General features: G+C 59.4%; 2 annotated features.

Moving 5' to 3' along the window:
- Positions 1,307–1,808: an enhancer, noted in NCBI's record as "H3K4me1 hESC enhancer chr14:104853417-104853918 (GRCh37/hg19 assembly coordinates)". NCBI's record gives its function as "activates a minimal SCP1, AML or CMV promoter by ChIP-STARR-seq in primed H9 embryonic stem cells {active_cell/tissue: H9 hESC(primed)}" and the evidence as "EXISTENCE:reporter gene assay evidence [ECO:0000049][PMID:30033119]".
- Positions 8,097–8,366: an enhancer, noted in NCBI's record as "active region_9114". NCBI's record gives its function as "activates an Ori minimal core promoter by ATAC-STARR-seq in GM12878 lymphoblastoid cells {active_cell/tissue: GM12878}" and the evidence as "EXISTENCE:reporter gene assay evidence [ECO:0000049][PMID:35858748]".

A 10,360-nucleotide genomic window follows, 5' to 3' on the forward strand; every position in this document is an offset into this window, starting at 1 on the left:
GAACGAGTGAGGGTGTGAATGAATGAATGAGTATAGGTGTAGTTTGAAATAGAGCTGGAAACAGAAAGCCAGGGCCACGTGAGGGGAACTGCTCCAGCTTGTTGGAGATGGCCCTTTTGATCCCCAGGACAGGAATCTGACATTGATCACCCCAGAGACCCCTCTCTGGGCCTCCTGTCAGGCTCCCGGAGGTCCCGTGGGCCAGGCGGGCCTCCTCTCTCTGTCCCCCCAGTGATGGCACTGGAAGGGCTCTGAGGACGGCTGAACAAGGACGCATGACTCTGCTGTCCAGAGGCACCGCTGGCTCCTGGTGAGGAGCTTGGAAAGCAAATTTGCATGGAACTTTGAGAATTGCTTTCTTTCTGTTTTATGAAATCCTTCTCTAAATGTCTGCATATTGCTCTCCTGAGGGATAGAGGGAGAAAAATAGCAATTAAAGTCTTGTCATCCGACTTGTTCAGGCCGTTAAGTTGTTCAATCTTGCATAAGAAATCTGCTAGTGTGCTTAAGTGGGAGGGAGCACCTGGAGCCGGCTGTAAATGTAAATCAATATGTAATGATATGCGCCCAGGCTGCACGGCCTGTCACTTGCGGGCGCAACCACCAGGGGCCCAGGTGTGTCCTCCGTGTGCGCCTGGTGGAGCCGGGCCTGGGCCCTTCTGCCCGCAGTGGTCTAAGCAGACGGAGAGAATGGTCCCATGTGGGCACACCCTGTGGCGCGGCCTCTGAGCCATCTCCCTCTTCACCAGTCTTGCTGGGAAGTCCAGATGAATCACATTTGGAAGAAGCTACTTGCTGGGCCATTGGCCTGGACAAACACAACGGCATTCCTGGGCAGCATGGCCAGGGCGTGGGGGCTGCGCCAAAGTGCCAGGCCGCCCCCTCGCAGCCCAGCAGGGTCGGGTGGTGGTGAGTCCAGGCCCCGGGCTCCGATGGGAGATCGGATGGGGCGGGCTTGCCACTGACAGACAGATGTAGAGCCGGGCAGGTGGGCAGGGGCAAGCCTGGGTCTTTGAGGTGCGGCAGATGTGAACATCCCATTTTCCAGAGGAGGAAGGGGAAGCAGAAGCGCCCTGTGCCCCTGAGGTCCCTCTCTGCTGCCTCCCGGACAGCTGTCCGTGGCAGGCTGGGAGCCAGGCCTGGTCCTCACTTTATGTCCCCATTTTATGGCGTCTCAGGAGAAGGATATAAAGCTGGGGAGATTCATCCCCTTTGCAAGAGGTTCATTTATTTTGACACTTGTGGTTTAGTTTCAATTATTTATCATAACACTAGAGAGGGCCCTGATAAAAGCACCCAAGTGTGTTTAACAGCAGCCACGGTGAGGGTGACCAGTGGAGCAGGCACTTGGGGAAGGCCCCTGGGGACCAGGGCAGGAAGGTGTGGGTGGGAGGGAGCCCCTGGTCGAGGGAGCCCGCATGGGCTGGACGGCACTGGGGTTTTCCTCTTGGCTGGAAACACAGGAGGTGAAGGAGATACGCTCCAGCGTGCTTGGAAATGACAACTTGTTCCAGTGCTGTCTGCAGAGCCAGATGGCAGCCAGGAACCTGGCGATGGGATTTTAGGAGCGAAGCTTCCTTCTCTTCAGTGGATACAGTTTTTCCACCTGCTTGAGCTTGAGCGCCAAGTGGGAAGGCCCAGCCCCTCGGCTTTGGTGAGATTCCCTCAGCCTGTGGCATCTGCACTATCTGGGCACCCACCTGCCCTCACGTCTGTCCATCTGCCCACTTACCTGTCCATCCGTCCACATGTCTGCCTCCACTGGTGACGGTGCCTGCAGCAGACGCCACATGGGGATGGCCGACATGGAGGCGCATCAGGCCTGGCACTGCCTGGGAGCTCCTGGCCTGGGGAGAGGTGCAGCTCCCAACACAGGAACAGCTAGTAAGCCCCTGCTGGGCCCAAGTACTGTTCTATGACCTGTCCACGCAAGGGCCATCCAGCTCCAGGGCAGGCCCATTGACCTGCATCCTGTATGCAGACAGGTTCAGGCCGAGCCTGAGGACGGACTCAAGCCAAGCCGCTGGGTGGTGTCCTGCCTGACGGGGCCTCCTCCTAGACACTCGCCCTCAGACATGGGGGCTGAGGTGCCCGCCTTCTCCCAGGGGCCATGCCTCCCGCCCTTCCCAAGGCTACACCCTTACTGCCTGGTTGTGGAGAGGTTCATTTCTGAGCCATACACAGCCCCTCCCTGGGTCACACCCATCAGCTCTGGGCGGAGGAAAAGTGGGCATAGGGGGAACACAGCCTGCCTGTTCCTCCCTGAGCGGCTGGGTGTGTGTGGCTCCATCTTCCAGAAGAGGCAGACTGAGTGAGATGGGCGTGCAGAACCAGCCAGCTCTGGCATTTCCTACGGCGGCTGGGAAATCGGAGGCTCCAGAGAGGAGAGGGCCTGCCCGGGGCACACAGCAAGGTCCCTGGCTCAGGAAGCACACACAATGGCTTCCTCTGGCCCCGGCAGGGGCTGGGGTGCTTGGAGGGCCCCTTATGCTTCATGGCCCCGCAGCGTCTGCCCCAAAACAAGCCAAGATGGATGAAAAATCGCTGGCGAAGGTCACTACAGGACAGCCGCGGACCGGTTGATTGCTCGGGGCGGCCCTCGCCCCGTCGGCGACTCCATCGGCAACTTCGCCGCGCTCTGATTTATGATGGGAAGAAAATGGTCCCCTGAACCGCCACCGGCTCTGGTTTGGGATTCTGTGTGACTCTCTGTGTGGCCGGCCCACCGTTTATTCACACCACTGAAGTGTGAATTCTATGAATAAATTTTATTATCTTGGGGCTTTGGGATGACAAAAACATGAAAGCCTCCGGAATTGGTGAGATGCCCGCCTCTCCTCATTACGTCGGCTGGGGCTGGGGGCGGGGGCCCTCCTGGGAGCCTCATTTAGATTTTAATTAAACTGACTTTTCCCAAACAATTTGCAATAAATTAGTGCCAACCAGGCTTGCAACATCCAGGCGCGAGGCCGTGCCAGGCTGTCACGGGGGACGCTGGCTCTCAGTTGGGGTCACCCGCATGGGAGGCCATGCACACTCTGGACAGGCCGGCGCTGGCTCACTATGCTGGCCCCAAGGTTTGCGTGGCCAGGGGTAGCCCAGGCACACACCAGACTCCCAGCTGACACCTGCTCCAGGAGAGGGGAGCGGCCATGTGCTGGGAGGGGCTGGCGTCTTTTCACTGAATGCCCACAGCAACCTGGTGACGAAGATGTCAGCATAGCGCTCAGTGGCACCCTCAGGGCAGAGGATGCTGAGCGCCCAAACCGCAGCTTTGAGGATGCAGTGTGGTGGAGGGTGGCCGGCACGGTGTGGGGGTGTCCTCAGCACCCTCCGCCCTGGACCTTCCTGTTCCAGGTGGACTGAGCATCAGTGGGGTGCAGGGTCCAGGACAGACGGAAAGGGAGGCTGGGCCCCGGGTGCCAGCCGAGAGATCCTGACATCCCAAGTTCCCTGAACCTCACCTTGTGTTAGACATGTGGGAAAAACCGAGGCTCAGAGAAAGGGAGGTGATTTGAACCCCGGGCTTCTTCCACTGCAGGCCCCTGTTGCCATCCCCAGCCTGCCCAGGGAGCACTCCCTCAGCCAGCACATGGCCAGCCTCCAGTGGCCATCCGTGGGAAGGAGCAGAGCTGCTCTGCTGATGCCCAGAGAGATGTGGGGGGAAAACCTGCTGCTCCTCGGCTGGGAGAAACCCCCAGAGTGGCTTGCCTCCCAGTGACAACACTCAAGGTCCCCAGGAAGAGGGCGTGTTCTTAAAACCGGAAAACAGCCCAGTGCAGCCCTGGTGTGTGTCTGAAGGCTTTAGGATACTGAAGCTTGGCCCACAGGCCCTGGCCTTCCTGGAGAGAAGGGGCAGGGAGGAAGGGAAGGGGCCCTGGAGGGAGGCTGTGTGACCTGAGGGCTGGGTTTGGCCAGGCTGGTGCAGGCTCCGACAGCAGCCTCTCTCCAAGGGCCTGACCCTGACCTCCAGGATGCGAGGCCCACCAGGAAGCCCCCACCTGCCTTGGCCCTGCCTGCTGCCCACGTCGGCAGCTCCCACCTGGCTTCACCACGGCCTCGGGGAAGGGGGTCCCTGCATTTGTGTGCCCCAAATCCCCGAACGGCAGGTATGGAGGTGACAGCCACAGATGACCTTGAGGTGGCCCCAGGGACCTCTCTCCCCATCAAAGGCTGTGCAGACAGGCATCCTCCTGCTTTCCAGCATCGACGTCTACGTCACAGGTGGAAGGCACATCACTCTTTCTAATATTCACACCGACAGTGGTCCCTTTGTTCTTGATTTTCCTGTCCCGTGGATTTGTAAAAATGAATCTGCGTCTTTTATTGTGGTCAAATATACATAACGTACAGCGTATCACGGTAACCACTCTCGGGCGTAGTCAGCGGCGTTCAGCACAGTCGCATTCGTGCAGCCGTCACCACCATCCACCTGCAGAGCATCTTCATCTTCCCAGTCAAAGTGCCGTTCCCATTCAACACTGACGCCCTGTTCCTCCTCCACCCCAGCCGGGAGAGGCGTTTATGTTTTATAAGAGGCTTTGGGGCTGCGGAGACGAACCCCCAGGTTTGCCAGGCCCAGCTGTGGTTAATTCAGGTCACATATTCCAAGTTCCCGATGAGGAGGATCTCTGTCCCAGTGAGGCACCGGGGACAGGGTGCAGGGGACACAGGCCCTTGCCAGGGGCTCGGGGAAGAGGTCGGCACAGGTAGCCACCGTCAAGGGCCACCGCAGAGCTCAGGCAACGATGACGATCCTTCCGTTTTGCTCAATGCTCCACAGTCGACAAAGAGCGTTCTGGTCCACACACGACTGTGTGCTCGTGCGAGAGCCTTGGGGATGACATTACACAGTGTCTGTCCATCAGGCCCACAGGTATCCAGCAAGGTGGCGTCTGCACATGCTGAGTGAGGGGAAGGTGCTGGTTGAGGAGGGAGCGAGGCTGTCCCCGGCCCTGGCCAGCTCCCAAAGCGTCCCTCAAGGCCAGCGATGTCCCAGGTCTTGGCTCCCTCGTGGCTGGATTGGTCTGGGGACTGGTGCATCCTCACTCTGAAAGGCTGCTGGGGCCTGGACTGGGCACCTGAGGATGAGAAAGTCAGATGCATCTCCCTGGGTGCCTGCTGCCGCCCTCCTGGGAGTTTGTGGTCATAAAATAGGATCCTGGGAAGAAGCGACTCCAGAGGGAGGGCTCCGGGAGAGCTGGTGGGCTGCTGTCATGGCCTTGTGGGGCTCTGCAGCTCTTGGGGCAGTTATGAGCACAGCGATATACGGGGCCACTGGGGCTCCATGTAGCTCTCGGAGACTCTGAGAGAAGGAGCTGGCCCTTTGGAGCTGGAGAGTAGAACCAGCCTGGCTCCCCAGTGTGCCGGCTCCAGGGAGGCCCTGAGGCGGGCCCAGCAGGCCAGTCGCTGCTGCCATGGGTGGGCGTGCAGTCGGTTCTGGCAAGTCCTGCCTGCCCGGGAGGCCTGGTGCACACACTGGGGATATAGGACAGCCTCACTGCTTCAACTGTGGGGTTGGTGGCGGGGGTCACCTTTCCTGCTTTACAGATGAGGGAGCCGAATTGCACTGGGGAGAGCCCTGGCCCCTAGTCTGTGTGTCCAACATTCTAGAGCCTGGGTTCTCGAGGCTGGTGGCTACAAGGTGGCTATTCTAGATTCCCTGTGTCTGGATGGTGTGGCCGCAGCACCCAGCCTGAAGGCTGATGGATCCCACTCAAGAACCCGGCCTCCTCATGCTATGTGCACACAGAGGGGCAAGGTTGGGGAGGGAGAGGGGCGAGTCCCAGGCTGCAGGTGGAGCGACCCCAAGCTCCCACCCCAAACAGCACAGTCCAGGACGCCCACCCGGAAGGAAGCTGCCAAGAGCTTCAGCACGTGGCTTTGAAATAACACAGTGTGATTTAACGGCCCGGGTGGTGTGGAACAGCGGCACGGTGGCTCCTCAGCAGTGGAGGCTCCGGTCCTGGCTGGTGCATCTGCTCCGGCAGCTGGCCGCCCCTCCATCCGCGGCCGTAACATTTCAAGACAGTTTTGCTTGCAAGGAGTCACAGTCCATTGGTTTTATGGAAACACTCTCTGAGTTTACTTCCCGCGCAGGGGAAAGACAGCTGTTTTATATGCACTTGGAGGAACACCTAAAGGGTTTTAGTGTTAATTAAGTTGGGAGGACGGTTCTTAACAAGCACCTTTTTGTAAATGTCAAGCTGCTCTGCTGTTTCACTGTTGTTATGGAAGGTGGAAATTAGGCAGCGCCCCCTACTCCCTCCTGCGGCAGGAAAGGGGGCACCACCTGTGTGTGCTGGGGCAGGTGTGCTGACACCGGCTTGCTCAGTAGAGCCACTTCCTGGAATGATCCGGAAAGTATAAGGGCAGCCCAAGAGGGCAGAAAAGCCGCAGCATCCAGAGAGTAATGGGGAGGCTCTGAGTGTTGGGGGCTGGTCTCAGGGACTGGCTCCATCTGGGGAGAGCTCACAATGTGAGGGCTGCAGACACAGCTCCCACCCAGAGCCCTGGCAGGACCCCCTCATGGGCAGGTCCGGGCAGCACATGGGAATCCCTGTCTCAGATGGTGGATGCCAGCTTGAAGCTCCCAATTTCATCTTTAGATTTGGGCCTGGACGAAAAGTCCGACGTGCGGGGCGGTCAGCGCTTCGGCTGCGGTGGGTTCCCGCCCCTTGCTGCCTCCCCAGGATGGGTTCTTGGCCTTCTGGAGCTCCAGGCCCTACCCGGTTTCCCCCTCTCATCAAAACATGCGACCAGGCCATGTTTGCGGGGAGGCCAGTGCCCCACAGCCCCTGACTGTCCCCGGTGGGGCCTGAGGTCGATCAGGAGCAGGGAGAGATGAGGCGTGAACACCTGGCTGTGAGCTGGTCCTTCCACGTGGAACACCCTGGATGGATGGGGGCTGCAGATGGGCCCCGGGGCACACGATGGGGAAGGGGAGGCTCCCAGGAGTATCTTCAGGGCCCACAGGGAACCCCCAGGGAAGGGGCTTGGACGGGTGGGGCTGTGGTTCCCGAGGGCCTGGAAAGCTGTGTGGACCTGAGGGTGTGCTGGGTCCAAGCCCAGCTGATTCCAGCGGGTGGGAAACCGTGTGTGAGGCTCTGGACGGCCTGTGGACAGGGCAGAGGCCCGGGATGTCTGGGAGGCCGGGTGGGGACACAGCCTTTCCCTGTCGGCTCAGGAGTTGGCACCGCTGAGGAAAGGGGGATGTTCAACAAATGAGCTTCAGAGAAACCCCCCAACACCACTACTCCTGGAGGAGGCATCCTGAAGACTGAAATGTTCCCGGGTCTCCAGAAAGGAATCCTGGGGCCAGCACTGTGTGGGGGCAGCTGACCTCCCAGGGCCACTGCTGTCGCTGCACCCACTGGCAGTGGGACAGGAGCCTGGGCCAGGACCCAGAGACCTGAGTCATGTCAACCCCACCCCCTACCCCCAATTTCTTGACCACCGGGGCCTTCACCAGACCTGCCTGGCTCCGGCCTCTGTCATGTGGAGACTGGAAGTTTCAGGGCTCAGCCTGGGTGAGCACGTGGGAGCCCTGCGGTGAGTGGGGGTGGAACCCCGGACTCCAGGGACGGCGCTCCAGGAGGGGTCTCAGGCACACCCCAACCTCCCAGCGGCCGTGACGGGCTTGGAGGCCTGTGTCAGGCCACAGCAGGCCAGGCCCGGTTTCCGGACCCTGCTGAGAGCCACAGACCCAATGACTTCTGCAGCTTGCCCCGTGAATGGAGCTCCATGCCAAAGCTTGGTCTCCAGGGTGCTGCTTCTCCAGCACCAGCGGCTCCCAGGCTTGCAGGGGCGGCGTGGCCTGGGCCAGCTTTCCCAGCCATTGTTCTCCCTGTGTGAAAACCCCAGGGCTCCCCAGCCGGCACCACCACACCCCTTTGCCTTTCCCCTCCTGCGGCCCCTCTGCTGGGTCACAGCCTTGGAGATGGGCCTGCAGAGGCACCCACACACCCTGGCCAGAGCTGACATCCTAAGCAGGCTGACAACCAGCCTGCAGGCTGAAGGACCCTGGAGAGACCTGGCCAGGCTGGACCCTGCAATCAGAAACAGAAGGCCCTTCTAGTGGGGGAAACTGAGGCCCAGAGGAGGGTAGAAGACTGCCCACAGCTGCCCGAGGGGGCTGAGTTCTGAGTCTGGGCTCTGGGTGGCCTGAGCAAGAAATCTGCTCCTGGGCACCCGCGGCTGTGACGGCTCCTGTGGCTGGGTCCTGGAACTCCTCCTGCCTCAATCATCGATTGGGCAGAAGGTCTGGAGCATGCTGGGCCTGGCTGCTGCCTGGGCACGAGTGGGGATAGCTTCAGTGTCACCTCAGTCACCCCAGGAGCCCTGCGGGATGGCTGCCCCACTTCACAGATGGAGTCTTGAGAGAGCTGATCAAGAACGGGGTGTGGGCCTCTGTGGTTTCCGCCTCCCGGATGCCCCATGCCTCTGTGTCTCAGAGGTGCCTGGGCCTCTGGGCTGCTGCCAAGTCCAGGACTAAGTGTTCTTCCAGAGCCCCAGATGCATCCTTCTGGTGTGTGTGTGTGTGTTTGTGTGTGTGTGTGTGTGTGTGTGTGGTCTCTGGGGGCAGTGGTAGGAGCCTGGGTTGCAGGGGCTGTCTTTGCTAGATCTCAAACTCAAAGGGGACCCTCTCTCTGGTTGCCTGGGGAGTCTGCTGCCCCGCCACCCCCCCGCAACAGTCCTGCTTGCTGCTCCTGTGCCTTCCTGCCCCCGAGCCCCGTCCCCAGCCCCTTTCCCTGCCCAGCCCTCTCTGCTGCCTTCCAGGCCTGCTCTCTTGACTTCAGAGGATGAGACTCGGGTCTGCCTTCAGGCTCCCAGGGGAAGGGTCCCAGGAGCTGCACTCTCCTCCCTGCCTGACAGTGCAGGAGGAGGTCGATGCCGTAGGAGGAGGGCAATGCCCCGGCAGCAGGTGCTCTCTGGCTCCAGCTCCCCATTCGTGCACCGCCTCAGCCCTGCAAAGTAGGTTGGTGCAGTCTTACGGGGGGATGTCTGCAGCCAGGCATCACCATCCGCAGCCAGGCAGAACGTGAGGCTGGTGCTGTGACCTGGGCCAGCACTTCCCTCACACTCTCCTTGTCCTTCCATGCCTGGCCTCAGTGAGGAAGGGTCCTCCTGGAGATGGGGCTGGGCAGACGTCCCTGGAGGGTCCCAGGAAGGCTCTGAAATCTGGCACATTCTGCAACCTATGTTCCAACCACTGACTCCAGGAACTGGTGCATGGGCTGAAGCAATGAAGAAAAGTCACCGTCCCATGAGGCAAAGCTGATTTAAAAGCTCACTTATTCTTAGTGGGAAAAATGGGGTTAGCAACCATAACATTTGAAAACCAACTGGAAATAGGCTGGTAAATAACTTTATGGAATTGTTGGTTCGGGAATTATGTTAGGAACTTGGAGTCTGTGATTATCAAGCAAAAAATGTCTCAGCATTTCAGGCCAGGGTCAGGGAGAGGGTAGGGGTGGGAATGGGGTCTATAGAGGTTATAGGAAAAGAAATCTGAGTGGTTGTTTAGGAGACTGAGGAGACTGAAAAGACCCTGAAACCCCACGGAGGTGATCAGGGACACTGGCCTGCCCTGAGATGCCTCTTCCAGTGTGCCTTCCTCCCCGCTGCCCTGCCCAGGCCAGCTCCCTGGAAACCCACTAAGAGGAAGGGTGTCTTGTGACCAGCCACATCACGAGATGTCCCACATCGCAGATTTCAGGTGCAAGGATTGAGGTGTCACAGCAAACAGAGGAGGGGCTGGGGTAGGTGTGGTTCTACAGCAGCTCTTAAAACAGAATAAACAAAAACTACAAGCGGTCTGCCACGGTGGCTCACACCTGTAATCCCAGCACTTTGGGAAGCTGAGGTAAAAGAATCACTTGAGCCTGGGAGTGTGAGGCTGCTCCCTCTGGTGAGCTGTGATCACACCACTGTACTCCAGCCTGCGTGACAAAGCGAGACCTTGTCTCTAAAGAAAACAAAACAAAAACCAAGTGTAATCAACCTTGCCCTTGAAAATGCGTTAGTCCACCCACCAGGTCATCTGGAATCTATCTTGGGATAGGTGGTGACCTGGTAGGACCAAGGGTCTTCCGAGGCACTGAAGAACTTGGGTTTTGCTGTAGATCTGAGTGGGGAGTTTTGGGAGGAAGGGGCGGGAAGTACCTTGATCTCACTGCCAGGGCCCCTTTGGCTGCTGAGGGGACAGCAGCTGAAACAGGACGGGCAGTGCACGTCCAGCGAGGACACCCTGGCCGCAGGTCTGCCCAGCGACAGGAGGAGGGCTGCATCTGGGGTCCGTGGTGGAGGTGGACACAGCGGCCAGCTTCTGGGAGCGTTTTAGAGTGAAGTCCACAGGACG

This window comes from Homo sapiens, chromosome 14 (genome assembly GCF_000001405.40).
Source record: "Homo sapiens chromosome 14, GRCh38.p14 Primary Assembly".
Classification (NCBI taxonomy): domain Eukaryota; kingdom Metazoa; phylum Chordata; class Mammalia; order Primates; family Hominidae; genus Homo; species Homo sapiens.